Source organism: Homo sapiens, chromosome 4, assembly GCF_000001405.40.
Source record: "Homo sapiens chromosome 4, GRCh38.p14 Primary Assembly".
NCBI classification, from domain to species: Eukaryota; Metazoa; Chordata; class Mammalia; order Primates; family Hominidae; genus Homo; species Homo sapiens.
This window is the reverse complement of record NC_000004.12, coordinates 76,090,257-76,108,132: the sequence shown is the minus strand read 5'-3', so window position 1 is coordinate 76,108,132 and position 17,876 is coordinate 76,090,257. Positions and strand designations below refer to the sequence as shown.

The following is a 17,876-nucleotide window of genomic DNA, read 5'->3' as shown; positions in this document are numbered from 1 at the left end:
AGGGAGAATTGGGTTGAGAACCACTGTTCTTTTTTTTTTTAATATATATTTTCTTTTTTATTTTTATATTTTGCTCCCAGTCTTCAGACTGGTAAGAACCACTGTTCTAAGAGTAGAAACTCTAGATACAATGGAAAACGATTATCGAAAAAACAAAGCTATATTGTCCCCAACACACACATGCACACACAAGCTTTTGGATATGACATTATACTCTGTTATTAAGATGCCTTAAAACCTTGCAACTTTGTTCCCTTTATTGAGGAAAAATAAATTTCTCACTTTTTCTATATTACAGAAGCAGGCATTTATCAACTGAGGAAATGAGATACTTCTTACTAGGATTGTTGATATTTCCTTGACTTTTATCTTCTAAAATATAAAGAGATTTTGAGTTAGTTATATTGTATATCTGTTTATCCAGAAAAGAAAGATCTGATTAAAAATTAAGCAAACTTGGTTATCTCTGTGAGTGGGTCTGAGGGGCAGGGTAATAGGTTTACGGGTATGTGTGGGGTTAGGGGAAGGGTTTAATTTGTTCTCATCTGTGCTCTTTGAATTTTTTTTCCCATCAATATGTGTTTACATAAAAATAAAAGTTAAAATTTTATTCACAAAAAGTATTTTCTACATATTGAACTTAGATTCCCAAGTACATTAATACCTACTATTGAGTGTTCACTATGTGCCATGCATTGTGCAAATGCTTTATGTACACTGTCACCTTTACTTCTTAGTCTTATTAGCCAGGTATAATTATCCATATTTCACAGATATTCCTTAAAACATTTATGAAATGTTTTGAGGAATGCCATGCATAAAATCACGGGGGTAACTGGTGCTAGAAATATCTAATTTCAAATTTGCTCTGAATTACTATGCTATACAGATGCTTCTCGACTTATGATGGGGTTGTGTCTCAATAAATCCAATGTAAGCTGAAAATACCATAAGTCAAAAATGCATTTAACTCACCCAACCTACAGAACATCATGGCTTAACCTAGCCTACCTTAAACGTGCTCAGAACACTTACATGAGCCTGCAGTTGGGCGAAATCAGCTAAGATAAAGCTTATTTTATAATAAAATATTGAATGTCTCATGTAATCTATTGAATATTGTACAGAAAGTGAAAAAGAGAACGGTATGGGTACTTGAAGTATGGTTTTTACTGAATGTGTATGGCTTTCAGACCATTGCAAAATCAAAAAATCCCAAGTTGAACCTGATAGAGCAGGAGCACCGTCATCTTGGACAAACACCACCACTTTAAATTCGAGCTCCCTTTCTAGCCTCATGCATTTCAAGGAAATCACCTCTTCTAACTACAAGCAGCCAGAAGGAGCAAACAGTAAAACACAGATAAAACAGCTCGGGCACAAAGGGAGGTGGGGGGGAAGTCTCTTGAGTAACTCCCAAACTTCGCCCTCATACAGTGGGCCCCAGTAAAACAGTGGGCCTTAATAAGCACATTCCTTTCTCTTCAGGTGCACTAAGTTAGGGAAGCTAAAAGCAGACTTGGGGAATATGCCTGCAGCTGCAGAATGATGTATGGGAACAGACACACAACGCTCTCTCCCAGATAAGCACAACAAAGAGACACAGAAGCAGTCCAAGCCGCTGATAAACTCTCCCACCCTAAATCCTTAAAAACTCTTAGTCTGTAAAAAAGTGGGCCTCTAACCTAACTCGGCCAGAAGGCGCCTCTCAAGTTTGTTTTCTCTAAAATAAATCTGTCCTAACTGGCAAGCCACCTTTTCGTGTTTCTTACAGACTGACCATTGTAACTTGGAGACCATCTGTACTACCAAGTGTGTGCCTAGCATAGAAATATTATGATATTACCATATTTTAACAGCTTTGAAGCCAAATACCAATTCTAGGTGCCCAGGATAGAAGTGGATAACTAAATCTGTTTGGAAGACAAGTGTAGCACAAAGTGAACAAAGCTTGAAAAGTTTGAGTCCTGGTTGTCTCTAGCCTATTATAAATTTGTTAGCCTTCTTATGTTCCATGTTCTCATCTCTGAAGTGTCAATAATATTTATCGTATTGGATTAAATGAGCTCCTGTGTACTGTTTTCACATCACCTTTTAAAAAGCTACACATAGCTTTCCAGGAGAGGGCACAATACACTGTAGTCCCAACAAAATCTAGTGGCCTACTGGACGATTGTAGAGTGTGGTGAGGAGCACACAGAATGGCTGGTCCCAGTATTGGCATGCTGCACAGTCCTCATTCACAGTTCTTGGATGATGCTATTTCTATGTCTACAGATTCCTTCACCCTGAGAAGCCTGCCTCATTCTGGAATAGACAGGCCCAGCTGGAAGCCAACTGTTCCAGTTTAAGATCAAGTGCCTTTTTTGATGTTTGGCCCAGAGAACCGTAATAGCAGCCTGCTGCTCACACTGAAAGAAATTCTCAACACTTTCCCTGTCTGGCTTGCAGACTGGGATATCGGAAAGTGTACAGCCCAGATGTCTTCCCCAGACCCCATAAGACTGAACTAACTGAATGATTATGGTAAAGGACTTAGAATCCATGGTGCCTCCACCCCCAATAAAGAATATATTACCAGGTTTTTCATTCAGTTGTATCATTTTTATTCCTAAACAAGAAAGAGGTTTTCAGATAATAACAAAGGCAGCTACCATTTACTACTATGTTACCACCATTCATTTTGCTAGGTACTTTGCTAGGTACTTTATCTCATCAGTCCTGCAAGACAGAAGCTTTCCTCATTTTACAGATGTGAAAGCAGGGGCGTAGAAAGTGAAGTAACTTATATAAAGCTACTCAGAGGAAAGTGGCAGAGACTTCCTGAAGCCAGGTCTATCTGTCTACACAGCTCATGTTCATCTCCCACCATGCTCGGTGGCTGCCTTTCAGATAGCCAGATGAGCAAGACCCCAATGATGGCACTGTGCAAACTCAGGACTAGCGAGCTGAAGAGATGTAGACGCACAAGGTGTGTCATCAGTGTCACTAGAGGTTCACTTCAAAGTTGTGGCCAAATAAATCCAACAGTGCAAATTTGGGTCAATATAAAAGAGGTCCTGGACCCTTTTCTCTGAGCCTATGTTCTCTGAGCCTTTATTTAACTAATGGAAAACGCTGTTTCTTTATACAGCACGCAGCTTCCATTGACAGCAGCGTTACGTGAAGTTCAGCACTGTGTGGCTGGATATAGTTTTTAAGATGCCAAATATCTAATTTCCTTAACAGATCATCATTTCCATAATAACAAAACCTGCAAAAAAATATTTCAAAGTACTACATGAACTCAGGAGAAAGGGATTTATGCATTGGACAGTGGCTTGCACCCTGAGATTCCATGGTTTTATAGTCCTTACAAATATTCCTGTCATGTACATGTGACTACTGATGGCTACATTTGATAGATGACAATTATGAGGCATAGAAAGTCCCATGCATATCTAATGGTGACTGTACTCCCCAAACTGGCATGTTCCCCTCTGGCATGCCTATCAGTTGCTTACCAGGTAGTGGAAAAGGTTCTGGAATTTTCATTCCTAAATGAGAAGGAAGTTTCCAATGACTTACAGTTTGCTCCACTGAGTATAATTTTCAAACTCTTGTCTGCTGAGCTTAAGAGATGCAAGCACCCAAGGCCCCAATGCACTATAGTTTCTGGCTTTTTATTTAAAAGTTCTGCTTACGTAAACCCTTATTATACAAATCCACACCATGATTAGAGGAGTCTTCTGCCATAGCACTTCACTGAGCATGTTTATGCCAGGAGAATATCGTGTTTTGTTACCTGGAGATACAGGCAATGAGATGTTAGCCAAGACTAACAGTCAACTTGTGCGTAAAGGTAGGTTTCTATTGAATAACTTTAGCTGTAGAACCTGGAAGGTGTTGGACTGATGCATCCAGATCCCAGGAGCCTTCCCCTCAGCAACATCCAGAGCAGAACTAACTTTCCTGCCCCAGAGACAATGCTCCAGGAGCACATGAATGCACAGGAGGAAAGAGACTTCTCTACGCTTCCCCAGCTAAATATTTGTAGATGACTGGCAGGTAGCTATAAGGGAAATATTCATGAATAATAGTCTCATGACAGTATTCTCTTAAATGCCTGGGAATCCTGCTCAACTCATTCTTGGGCTCAGGGAGTAAATAGAAAGCTGTCTTACCAGGTATTTGGGTGGGTTCAAGGATTTTCACACCTAAAGGCAGAAATAAATATTGGTTTGTATTAATCAGTTATCTTATACTGTTAATACTCTTCTTTTGTCTATATTTCCTCCATTTCCAACTTTCAAAAAAAAAAAAAGGCAGGGGGAAAGAAAAAAGAAACAGCAACAACAAAAACACCTTTCAATGGCTCTTCATTCTCCATGTGACAGAGTCCAAACTCCTTAGCCTGGACTTCAAGAACTTCCACGATCTAACCCGTCTCTCCAGCTTTATCTTCAGAAGGCAGTCCCAATATATCAGTTTTTGGATGAAACACTACTGGTTTTACATTTCTGCTTGGTTTAGCTCTATCGTAATTATAGTTATTAGCTCTGTGACTTTGGGCAGACTACTTAATCCCTCCTAACTTTAGTTTCTCACTTTGCAAGAGAAATATTTACCTCTTAGGTTTGTAGTTAGTGAAGATTGAAGGAAAGACTGCATAAAAGTGCTTGGTACACTGCACGGAGCGAAAAAAGGTACTCAATAAATGAAGTCCCTTTGTTCTTGTCTAACTCATTCCTCAAACTCTCCAGGCTCAGTAATATTTTTTTTTCTTTTTTGAGAGACAGGGTCTCGCTGAGTCGCTCAGGCTGTGGTGGGGTACAATGACACGATCATAACTCACTATGATTCTCCTGCCTACGCCTCCCAAAGAGCTGGGATTATAGGTGTGAGCCACCGTGCTGGCTTTTCACAATGTTCTTAATCCTAGGAATCCTTATCGTCTCCTAACCATGTAGCTAGTCTCAGTAAATAGATTATTTCCCAGGTGAAACAGTGAGCCTCTGGCTTTTTATTCCTAAGGACGAGAATAAGAACTATTTAGTAAAAAAATGCCATCAGCTTGAAAATTAATTTGACCTTATACTTGACTTCTGTAGTAGAAAACTCAGAACGCTTTGAGAAATGGCAGAGGACAAGGTAACAAAAAGAAGAGATTTAACCCACTGGAGCCTAACTGATGATAAGAACTAAGGCTAGTGACCCAGAATCTCTCCTAGGTTAAGCACCTCTTGTTCGTTTTTTAAAAATTCAACCCAAAGACCTCGACCCAAAATTGGCATTATATGTAATATATAAAATATGCTTCCTAACTATATAATACGTTATAGATAATTTGGAAAAATACAGAAAATTATTAAAAATTAAAGTTCTCTTAAAACTGCAGATCTCGGAAATACTCTACTCATTCTTAACATTTCTGGTGTATTTCAATCATTTTGCTATGCATACATATATATACATATACATTTTTAAAAGTTAATATTATACTCTATATGCAGTTCTATATCCAATTATTTACCATTGTATTAAGAGTACTTTCTTCTATCTTTAGATGGTTTTGAAAACATGATTTTTAAGTTGCTTAGTGTTTCATAATATAGGTAATATTTTATTTAACAATACCCAATGGTTGGACACAGGTTGTTTCTAAATTTTTGCTACTGTCAAATAAAAATTATAGGAGGCCATTGCTTCAGACTAAGTTTCTGCAGAAGGCCCCAACAGACCAGACTAAAAATCGAAATGGAGTCACCCATGCTAAAGTTCCACATCATCTAAACTAAGTTGTCTGAACTTCTAAGAAATCAGGAGAAAGAAATAACAGAATTTCCCAAATTGGCCATTTTAAAATCTTCAATCAGCTTGATAAATGAAGTTCCCGATGCTTCAATCCTTACACACAAAAAAGGTAGCCTGAAATAAACTGATGTTAACTAATCAGTTATTTTTCTACTGTTCTGTCTAAAAGTAATTAATATACTCTGTTCTTTGCTTCCACTTTCTTTGGCTCTTCTCTGTCTTTAAAGCCAAACTTCTGTGCTCAGCTCAATGAATGCTTATTCTATGGAATAAAGTGTTGCCCAATTCTAGAATCTCAAATAAAGCCAATTGATCTCTTTAAATTTGTTGTAATTTTGTCTTTTGACACTACCATAACACTGTGATAGGCATTTTTGTACACAAATCTTTGTGTTCATCTCTAATTTCCTTGGGACAAATATCCAAAAGTGTTATAACCGAGTCAAAAGGTACAAACATTTTTAAGACTAGTAATACATACTACTAAATTGCTCTCCAAAAAAGTTCCAATTTATAATCTCGCCAGTAATTTATGAGACTGTTCCTGTCCCGGTATCCTTGAGGACATCTGAGTAATTTTTTTTTTCCAAGATGGAGTCTCACTCTGTCACCCAGGCTAGAGTGCAGTGGCGCGATCTCGGCTCACTGCAACCTCCACCTCCCAGGTTCAAGTGATTCTCCTGACTCAGCCTCCTGAGTAGCTGAGACTACAGGCGTGTGCCACCATGCCCGGCTAATTTTTGTATTTTTAGTGGAGATGGGGTTTCACTATGTTGGCCAGGCTGATCTCGTGATCCGCCCACTTTGGCCTCCCAAAGTGCTGGGATTATAGGCGTGAGCCACCCCGCCCGGCCATTTGAGTAATATTAAAAATAAAACAAAAACAAATACTTGAGGATAAGTTACACTTGGAATGTACTAAATAATCAAATGGATATAGCTAATGGCATATATTAATCAGATTGCTGGTGACAGAAATAAATACAAAGAATAGTCATTTTAATTTAGAAAAAACAATATTTGTTATGCCCTGCCCAATATCCTAGAGGTCACAAGAATGTGGGGAATAATTAGTCACACCTTCCTCTATTTGGTGGGATGACCTAAAGATTGTTAGACAGGAGAAACAGAGCTGCTATGTCATTTTTCTAAAGAATTCTACCTGAAACCCAGGAGAGTCTCTAATATACCAAACCAGTAAGCTAAGGTGAGCTCTGCCTTCCTCCCACTTTTCTTACCACGACATTCTTCCCTGTTCCCACATGTAAAGGGAGATATATTGCAAAATGTAAGCCCCCAGAATTTACATAAATGTCTTACCATGGTCTTCAAGCTTCTGGTTTTTCTCACCTGAGTTACAAAAAGAAGCTTATCAGTTTTAACAATGGAACAAAAGAATTGGCAGTTACTATAGCTACAGCAAAATTATTTTCAGTAAATATGAAAATATTCCCACCTGTAAAGGGAGGTATCTTGTAAAATGTAAGCCCCCAGAATTTATAAAAAATGTCTTACCATGGTCTTCAAGCTTCCAGTTTTTCTCACCTGAGTCACAAAAAGAAGCTCATCAGTTTTAACGAAGGAACAAAAGAATTGGCAGTTACTACAGCTACAGCAAAATTATTTGCAAGAAATATGAAAATATTCCCACCTGTAAAGGGAGGTATCTTGCAAAATGCAAGCCCCCAGAATTTTTTTTTTTTTTTTTTTGAGACGGAGCCTCGCTCTGTTTCCAGGCTACAGTGCTGTGGCACGATCTCAGCTCACTGCAACCTCCAGCTCCCTGGTTCAAGGGATTCTCCTGCCTCAGCCTCCCGAGTAGCTGGGACTACAGGCATGTGCCACCACGCCCAGCTAATTTTTGTATTTTTAGTAAAGATGGGGTTTTACTATGTTGGCCAGGATGGTCTCAATCTCCTGACCTCATGATCCTCCCGCCTCGGCCTCCCAAAGTGCTGGGATTACAGGCATAAGCCACCACGCCTGGCCAAGCCCCCAGAATTTATAAAAATGTCTTACTATGGTCTTCAAGCTTCTGGTTTTTCTCACCTGAGTCACAGAAAAGAAGTTCATCAGTTTTAACAATGGAACAAAAGAACTGGCAGTTACTATTGCTACAGCAAAATTATTTTCAGGAAATATGACTATAAAGAACCATTTGATACGTCCAGGAAACTACCCTACTAAACTTAAGTTGTCGGTCACAGTCTAAATGTACCTTGGCTAATGAGCTGGAACATTCTCTGCCCCTACTATTAAGAAAAGTCATTACAAATAGCTTGTCTACCAGGGATCTCAAGGAGCCGAGAAAATGTCTTTGTTGAAGAGTCAGCTAAAGTCCCTGGGAAGTGATCAGTAGAACCTGTGACTGCAACGGAACAATAAAAAGAAGGGCTGCTAAGCAAGTCTTCAAGGCATAAAGTGCTTCACTTCTATCAGGACAGGAAGTATTTTCCCAAACATGAAATAAATTGCATGTTTTAAAAAGGCTGGAACCTCTTCTCTTTTCAACAAAGAAAAATTTATTGTAGCCACATGAGCCAAACACATGATAAGGAACTTATGTGCAAAGAAATGATTTGGGCCATATATCCTTCAGTGGAAACTTTAAGAGCATCTAATCACCTACATATTTTAGTTAAATCATAGTAAACATCAAGCATCTGCATATTTGAGAGATGCAAACATGCTGAGTTTTGTATTTTTGTCTGAGTATTTGGAGTCACACAGGTTCATTTCAATGACTGAATACAGAGCTATACCTAAGAAGCCCTCATAACTGGTCAAGAATGACTCTAGCTCTTCATTCTCACCACCCGTATTCCCCGGAAAATTTCCATATTGTTCAGATCTCCACGAAGCCAATTCTCTTATTTGAGGAAGGTATATTTCCCTAGAATAGGTTCTTTATTTTTTTCCTCTCATATAGGCCAAGTCACTGCTTTATATCTGCAAATTTTCTTCAGCTAAGAAATACATTTGCTAAACAAGAAAGAGCTATTAAACATCCAGGTAAGGATTATTATTATTAACTTTGGAGACAGAGTTTCACCCTGTCACCCAGGCTGGAGTGCAGTGGGTGCAATCTTGGCTCACTGCAACCTCTGCCTCCCAGACTCAAGTGATCCTCCTGCCTCAGCCTCCCAAGTAGCTGGGACTACAGGTGCACACCACCATGCCTGGCTAAGTTTTGTATTTTTTGTAGAGATGGGGTTCCGCCATGTTGCCCAGGCTGGTCTCAAACTCCTGGGCTCAAGTGATCCACTCACCTCGGCCTTCCAAAGCGCTGGGATTACAGGCGTGAGCCACCATGCCCAACCAAGATTATTTTTAAAAATTAGAACATACTCACCAGGGTTGTAGACATAGATGGGTTGAAAATATTCTGAAATACAGACATGTTTTCATTACATGGTACTATGCTCAGATGTGAATGTCAGGATCAGTCTATTTTTAAATGTTCATTAAAAATAAAGATTGTGTTGGCTTATATTTAAGAAACATAAAAATACAGTTACTATAACAGATATAAAATTTCAATTCAAAGACAAATGGATGTGAATTCACTTTTATTTTTTTGAGACAAGAGTCTTGCTTTGTCGCCCAGGCTGGAGTGCAGTGGCACGATCCCGGCTCACTGCAACCTCTGCCTCCCGGGTTTCAAGCAATTCTCTTGCTTCAGCCGCCCAAGTAGCTAGGATTACAGGCGCCTGCCACCACACCTGGCTAATTTTTGTATTTTTAGTAGAGCCAGTTTCACATGTTGCCCAGGCTGGCCTCAAACTCCTGACCTTAAGCAATCCACCCGCCTCAGCCTCTGGATGTGGATTCATTTAAGTTACATGAAAAAAAAATTCACAGGAAAGCTAGCCAGAAAAACAGCTAGAAACAGAACCTTGCTTTTGAACTTTTTTTCTCTCTCTTCTGATACCTTTGGTATGTTTTTAAACTTTTTAATGAGGAAATCTTCAAAAGGATCCACCCAGAGCATGTCTTAATCCAAAGGCATTTTTGGTATCTTTAATTCAAATTTATTAGGCCTCTTTGATAATGCTGTTCCTTAATACTCTTAGAATTTTCTGTCTGCCTTCCCAAATCTTTCCCATAGTCCTCTAAGAAAGATTTTTTTTTTTTTTTTTGGTCACATCCTCTTATTTTTCCCCGAGGAAGTTAAAATCTACCGCATTACCCTTCTGTCATCCCATTCTCCTCCTTCCTCGACCTATATTCATGCCATTCCTTCATTGGTCTCCCAAATGTTATTTCCTAAGATAACAAAATACAGGAACAGGAGCTAGCTCTTTGCATAGGAGTCAAGTGGGAAATGGCTGAAGATGTAGGGGAATTAAGGAGTCCTTAAACTCCTATAAGGTCAGGCTCAGATGACAGTGGCGTGTTCCCTTCATGCCCAGGCCAATGCAGTGTCTGAGAGAAGAGCCACAGGCAAGTCTTGGGGTGGGGATGAGGGTGGCAGTGGGGACTGGCAGCAAAGGCTCCTAGGCTCTCCACCTGAAAAGGTACTAGCAGTAGTAGCACAATTTAGCCTTGAGAAAATGATGTTTGACAGAACGACAGTACAGTGGTGGGGTAGCTCTGACCCATAGCTATGAGAAGTAACTGATAAAATTCCTATTATAGGGATAAGACTTTAAAGCTATCTTACCTAGGTTCTCAATACAGTTTTCGGTTTTTAGTCCTGAAACACAAAGATAAAGCTTTATTAGTTAGACATAATATACCCTAGTAAATATTTCAATTAATCTATGGCTGTTGGTAACCTAATCTGTCAGCTCCTGGTTTATCAGACTCATAATTAGTAAGATGCAAATTGCAGGCTGGGCATGGTGGCTCATGCCTGTAACCCCAGCATTTCGAAAGGCTGATGCAGGAGGATCGCTTCAGCCCAGGAGTTCAAGACCAGCCTGGGCAACATAGGGAGACCCCATTTCTACAATTTTTTTTTTTAAATTAGCCAGGCATGGTGGCACACACCTGTAGTCCCAGCTACTCAGGAGGGTCAGGTGGGAGGATCGCTTGAGCCCAGGAGGTTGAAGCTGCAGTGAGCTGTGATCATGCTACTACACTCCAGCCTGGGTGACAGAGTGAGACCCTATCTCAATTATTTAAAAAAATTGCAGAACAATTATATTTTAGTATTTATAGTACAGCCACCAAACAGCCATATGACCTCTGACAAAACACCTAAGCTTTCCGGAATTCAGTTTTCTTATCTGTATCTTTTACTAGGAGACTGCTTCAAATGACTTTCAAGGGCCCATCCAGGGCTAATACCTTATCATTCTATTCTATAATTAGTCGGCAAAATTTAGGAGAAAATTTACCTGTCCAATTAATCCTCTCTTCAGATACTAAACGTCCTCAACAGCAAACCTATCCCTCTACTACAACAATTCCTATCCTTTGAAGAAGAAGAATCTCAATCAGACCTTCAACATCCTTTAACATTTGAACAAAGATCCTTCACATTCATATAAAGAAAACGGGTTGGCATGCCCCAGAATATTCATTTGTATATGAGGAAATCCACAATATTTGGAGAACAGAACGTGGCATCTGACAGTACTTTTTGAAAGGCCCTAGATGCTCTCACTGGTGATGCCCTAGAAAAAGTTGTCAGCACTGCAGTGATTCCCCTGAGACTTGACAGAAAGGGGAATCTACCAGCCAACAGCAGTAAGGTAAGAAGGTTAGTGAGACAGTATACAGATTGGGTGCAGTATGAGCCATACGGAAGGCCTACCAGAATGCATAACAAAGGTCTAGATGCCTCGTGGTCTCTACTTCATACCTGGCGAACACACTAATCTAATCTGGAAGTTCAGCTACCTGAGGAGGAGCCTCTTTACCTACAATAGGAGAATCCCTAGAGAGGCCTGGCTCCTAAAAAAGATATATACTTCTATAATCTGCTCTCAAGTCCTGCTCCATTTGTAGTGAGTGTCTGAACCAAAAACCCAGGTGATTTGGTCCACTTTCTACTGGTCCAGGAAATAACAGATGTGTTAGAATCTGGACAGTGCCCTGAGGCTAAACTCAGGCATTTGACTAGACTAGAAATTTAAAAATTGGTTCTAGAGATTATTACAAAATGTTGTCTCAGGGTATGGTGGCTCACACCTGTAATCTCAGCACTTTGGGAGACCAAGGGCGGGTGGATCACCTGAGGTCAGGAGTTAGACACCAGCCTGGCCAACATGGTGAAACCCCGTCTCCACTAAAAATACAAAAATTAGTCCAGCGTGATGGTGCGTGCCTATAATCCCAGCTAGTCGGGAGGCTGAGGCTGGAGAATCACTTGAACATGGGAGGCAGAGTTTGCAGTGAGCCAAGATTGCGCCACTGCACCCCAGCCTGGGTGACAAGAGCAAAACTCTGTCTCAAAAGAAAAAAAAAAATGTTGTCTCAGCAGGAGATGAGTGAGTACAAGCCTCATCCAGAGGGCTTATTTGAGGGTAAGGTGAAGGTGAGGGGAATTGTGGATAAGAAAGCTACAGATGTAAGTTGAAAGGTGCAGCCTGGGGACCAGGCACCAGGGGGATTTTAAAAGCCTTTTGTCTGTAGCACAAGTTAGAGCATGTTTCTCAAAGTGTAGTTTTCCAGCCACATACTTCAGAATCACCTGGGTGCTTATTAAAAAGGCAAATTCCAGGACCATAGCCAGGACTATTATTGCTACATACTTTCTAGAGGGGGATGCCTTGTGATCTGCATTTTAAATAAGCACTCCAAGTGATTTTTATGCACAAAATTTTTGAAGGCCTCCTGAATAGAAAAGAATGGGTATCTTTATTTATTATTATTTTTTCTTTTTGAGATGGAGTCTCGCTCTGTCACCCAGGCTGGAGTGCAGTGGCACGATCTCGGCTCACTGCAACCTCCGCCTCCTGGGTTCAAGCAATTCTCCTGCCTCAGCCTCCTAAGTAGCTGAAATTACAGGCACCCACCACCACATCCAGCTAATTTTTGTATTTTTAATAGAGGCAGGGTTTCACCATGTTGGCGAGGCTGGTCTTGAACTCCTGACCTTGGATGATCCACCTGCCTCATCCTCCTAAAGTGCTGAGATTACAAGCATGAGCCACTGTACTGGCCTCTTTAATGTTTAACACAGAGTCATTTTGTTAAGATTGCATTTCTCCTCCCTATTTAAACTCTGGATTTAATCTTCTGTTTAGCATTTTCAATAGCAGTAATCAAACTATTTTGAGTTTCTAAAGAAATAGCAGGGTTAAAAATGGATAAGAGAATTGGTCCAGAAATAAAAGAAGAGGCATAAATATATAAGGAATGAAAAAGGAAACCTAACAACAGATTCAGCAGATGTAAAAAGATATGAGAATATTATGAACAGCTTTATGCCTACTAATTTGAAATACAAAGGCAAATGGACAAATTCCCAGAAAAATTTAACTTACCAACCCTTAAGTAGTTTAAAATTTTTCCAGAAAGAATATACCAAGATAATTCAATTTTTATAGACAGAGTACCAGAGAGAAAGGAGTGGCACAAACAGAGAACTCCAGAGATCTGCAAAGGGTTTCCCTCAAGTATTCAGTGGAGTGCTGATCAGATTATATGTGTTAGAAAACTACCCAAGGCCAGAGAAAGAACCCACAAGGTCAAGAATAGTGTCTATTCCCATCAACCAGGCTGGAAAACCTTATAATTCACAGGCATTAGGTAGAGTATTGAGAAGGGTACAGCCTCAGCAGTGAGAAATAATGAGCCCTGGATTAAAGTGTCTCTGGTTCTGCCTAGAAAATCTGAAGAATAAGCCCTAAAACAATCAAACTGTTCTAAAGTAAATTAACTATGTACCAGAACAAAGCTCAAGAATATTTTTAGAAATATAAAATTACCATGCACACAACAAGGTAAAATTCACAGCATCTGGCACCCAATCAAAAACTACCAGCAAAGAAGCAGGAAAATACAATTCATCATGACAAGAGAACTCAATCTAATGAAACTAACCCAGAGCTGACACAAATGTTAGTATTATCAGAAAAGTAAATTAAAGTAGTCATTACAACTGTATTCCATGTGTCCAAAAAATAGTTAAAGGTGTTGTCTTACCTCCAGCTGCCACACAAAATACCCTGACTGGATGGCTTAAACAACAGATTTTTATTTCTCATAATTCCAGAGCTGGGAAATCCAAGATCAAGGTAATGGCAGGTTCAATTTCTGGTAAAGGCTTTCTTCTTGGCTTGCAGATAGCCACCTTCTCACTATATCCTCATTATGTCAGAGAAAGAACAAAGCTATGGTCTCCTTTCCTCTTCTTATAAGGACATTAGCCCCGTCATGGGTACTCCCAGCCCTCATGACCTAATCAAAACCTAATCTAAACCTAATTACTTCTTGAAGGCCCAACCTCCAAATACCATCACAGTGAGGATTAGGGCTTCAACATATGAATTTTGGGGGGGATACATTCAGTAGTGTATGTCATTACTACTAACAGGTGTTAAGTAGAGACGTGGAAAATATAAAAAGACCCAAATTGAATTTCTAGAGATAAAAATTCTGAGATGAAAAATACACCAGATAGAATTACTGACAAACTAGACACTGAAGAAAAAAGATTAGCAAACTTGACATACTGTGGTATGCAGAATAATACCCTTCTTAAAGAGGTCTACATCCTATCCCCAGAACCTGTGAATATGTTATTTTACATGGCAAAAGAGAACAATGGTTGAAGATGCAAATAATGTTGTTAATTAGCTGGCCTTCAGGTGGGGCAATTATCTTGGATTTTCCAGGTGAGCTCAATCTAATAACATAAATTCTTAAAAGTGGAAAAAACAAGAAGTAGAAGAGATGATCAGAGAGATGCGAGGTGCGGAGGACTCAACATGCTGTTTCTTTCTTTTTTGAGATGGGGTCTCAGGGTCTCCCTCTGTCACTTAGGCTGGAGTGCACAGTGGCGCAGTCGTGGCTCACTGCAACATCAACTCTTGGGCTCAAGCAATCCTCCCATCTCAGCCCATCACAGGCAGCTGGAACTACAGATGCATGCCACCATGCCTGGATACTTTTTTTATTTTATTTTTTGTAGAGACAGGGTCTCGCTATGTTGCCCAGGCTGGTCTCAAACTCCTGAACTCAAGTGATCCTCCTGCCTCAGCCTCCCAAAGTGCTGAGATTACAGGCATGAGCCACCACACCTGGCCATCAACATGCTGTTTCTGACTGAAGATGGATGAAGGAGGCCACAAACCAAGGAATGCAGGTAACCTCTGGAAGCTGGAAAAAGCAAGAAAACAGATTCTTGCCTAAGCTCCTGGGAAGGAATGCAGCCCTACCAACACCTTAATTTCAGCTCAGCAAGACTTATGTCAGGCTTCTGAAATACAGAATTTTATGATAATAAATCTAGATGTGTTGTTTTAAACCATTAAATTTGTGGTAATTTGTTATGGCAGCAATGAAGTACTGAAATATACAAAACAATAGAAAACATCTAAAAATGAAACAGAGAAAAATACTAATAACAAGAAACATTAGAGTTTCATTGAGCTGGGGACAACCTCAAGCAGTTTAATATACATATAAACAGAATCCCTAAAGGAAGAAGAGAGGGGTGAAAAAATATTTGCACAAACAGTAGTCACAACTTTCCAAATATGATGAAAACTATGAACCTACAAATCCATAAGTTCAATGAACTCCAAGCACAAGATACATGAAAAAAAAATGACACTAAGTTACATCATAATCAAATTGGTCCAAATAAGTATGATAAACACAAAGTCTTAAAAGCAGCCAGTGGGGAGCAGGGGAGCTAAATAAAGAGGAGCAGAAATGAGGAGCACAGCAGATTTTTTTGTCAGAAGCAATTTAAGTAAAACAACAGAGGAACAGTAAATTTGTAAACTACTAAAAGACAAAAAAAAGATCAATCTAGAATTCTATACCCAGTGAAAACAGCTTTCAAAACTGAAGGTGAAATAAACTTTTCATACATACAACACTTAAAGGTAAATCTGACGAAAGATGGAAAAGCCTTACACACTGAACACTATTTGGATACAGCTGACAGAAATTAAGACCTAAATAAATGGAGATGTTATGCTGTGTTCATGAGTTGGAAAAGTATATTTTTTAAAACTCTTCTCATATTGATCTATAAATGCAAGGCAAGCTTAATCAAAATCCAAGCAGAAATTGTAGAAATTGACAAGGTGATTCTAAAATTCATATGGAAGCATAAAGAACATATAATCACCAAAACAACTTTGCAAGAAAAGAATACAATGAACACTACCTGGTTTTGAGGTTTATTATATAGCTATAGTGATCAATATATGATACTGGAATAAAGATAAATCACCAGGCACAGTGGCTCACACCTATAATCCCAGCACTTTGGGAGGCTGAGGCAGGTGGATCACTTCAGGTCAGGAGTTCAAGGCCAGCCTGGCCAACATGGTGAAACCCTGTCTCTACTAAAAATACAAAAAATTAGCCAGGCGTGATGGCACATGCCTGTAGTCCCAGCTACTTGGGAGACTGAGGCAGGAGAATTGCTTGAACCCAGGAAGCAGAGGTTGCAGTGAGCCAAAATTGTGCCACTGTACTCCAGCCTGGGTGACAGAGCGAGACTCTGTCTCAAAAAAAAAAAAAAAAAAAAGATAAGCTACAAATTCAGAGAAAATATTTGCAAATCACATATCAGACAAAAACCTCGTACCTACAATACATAAATAATTCTCAAAAGATAAGAAAACAACCTCATTAAAAGTGGACAAAAATCTTTGAGCAGGTGTTTCAGTAAATATATACAAATGGCAAATAAGTATGTGAAAAGATGCTCAACATTATTACTCATTAGGAACATGCAAATTAAAACTACAATAAAATACCACCACATATCTATTTAGAACTGTTAAAAAGACATCTATCAAGTGTCGGCAAGAATGTGGTATAGCTAGAACTCTTATACACTCCTGGTGAGAATGTAAAATGGTACAGGTACTCTGGAAAACCATTTGGCAGCTTCTTCCAAAGTTACACATATACCTATCATATAATCCAGCCAATGCATTCCTAGGCATTTACTCAAGTGTAATGAAAGCATATGTCCATACAAAGACTTGTATATACATGTTCACAGAAGTTTTATTTGTAATAGCCAAGGACTGGAAACAACCCACGTACTCATCAACAGGTGAATAGACAAGTAAACTGTGTTATATCCACTATTCTACAACAGCATAAATAAACTATTGATACATGCAACAACACAGATGAATCTCAAAACAATTATGCCGAGTGAAAGAAGCCAGGCAAAAAAGAGAATATACTGTATGATAAGATTTGAATGAAACTCTAGACAGTGCCAACTAATCTGTAGTGACAGCAAGTACATTAGTAGATGCCTGGGGGGACTGGGAAACAGGGAAAGGGAGGAGAAAGGAATTGCAAAGAGGAATGAAACTTTTGTAAGCAACAAATGTAAAATGCTCATTGTCTTGATTGTAGTGATGATTTCATTGGCATATACATATATCAAAACTTACTAAATTTTACTTTATGTGCAGTTTATTGCATATCAATTATAACTCAGTAAAGCTATTAAATTTTTTTTTCTTAATTATGAGGATGGGATGAACAGGACAGGACTAGGTTTTGGATCTGGTCTCTAGTTCCCTACCAAAAGAAGCCCTCCACATCCCTGACTTGTTAAATACTGGAGATTACATGGCTGTCATGTTAGCAGAGAAGTCTACAGTTAGAAACATTAGACGCAGTCTGGACAAGAGTAAATAAAGCCCTCCCACAAGTTCCCTATCTCTTTCAGATCCAAAGAAATTACAAATGTCAATGACTATACTCACAGCTGATTAGAATCTCTGGCAACAAGGCTACGTCAGAATTTGTAGGTCACGAGGACTTCCTCTTTCTGCAGGGCTGTTACTGCTAGCCTGTTAACTGGGCCTAATTGAGACAGACTGTCTTATCGAAAGAAAAGTCATGATTCACTAAACCAGTATCTTATTATGCAATACGTTCTCTCTGAACTAAATTCCCATAAGGCTGGACGAACTCTCGAA

General features: G+C 39.3%; 1 protein-coding gene across 45 annotated transcripts in view, besides 1 other annotated feature; it reads right to left on the bottom strand.

The window, feature by feature from the left end:
- The window catches only part of ART3 (ADP-ribosyltransferase 3 (inactive)), a 101,597-nt gene that overhangs the window by 4,654 nt on the left and 79,067 nt on the right, over positions 1-17,876 (bottom strand). For 11 of the 45 annotated variants that reach the window (XM_047415697.1, XM_047415696.1, XM_047415698.1 and 8 more), the window contains 6 exons: positions 10,457-10,489; positions 9,146-9,178; positions 7,813-7,842; positions 7,309-7,338; positions 7,114-7,143; positions 4,164-4,196 (listed from right to left, as the gene is read on the bottom strand). The exons of 1 other annotated variant lie outside the window; for it this stretch is intronic. In XM_047415697.1, coding sequence (XP_047271653.1) covers positions 4,164-4,196; positions 7,114-7,143; positions 7,309-7,338; positions 7,813-7,842; positions 9,146-9,178; positions 10,457-10,489 — 189 coding nt within the window. Of the gene's footprint in view, positions 1-339; positions 2,612-3,503; positions 3,537-3,683; positions 3,785-4,163; positions 4,197-7,113; positions 7,144-7,308; positions 7,339-7,812; positions 7,843-9,062; positions 9,179-10,456; positions 10,490-17,876 lie in introns of those variants that run through there. 33 more of the 45 variants (XM_047415700.1, XM_047415699.1, XM_024454063.2 and 30 more) reach the window with 21 other exon arrangements.
- Positions 12,092-12,593: an enhancer, noted in NCBI's record as "NANOG hESC enhancer chr4:77016693-77017194 (GRCh37/hg19 assembly coordinates)". NCBI's record gives its function as "activates a minimal SCP1, AML or CMV promoter by ChIP-STARR-seq in naive H9 embryonic stem cells {active_cell/tissue: H9 hESC(naive)}" and the evidence as "EXISTENCE:reporter gene assay evidence [ECO:0000049][PMID:30033119]".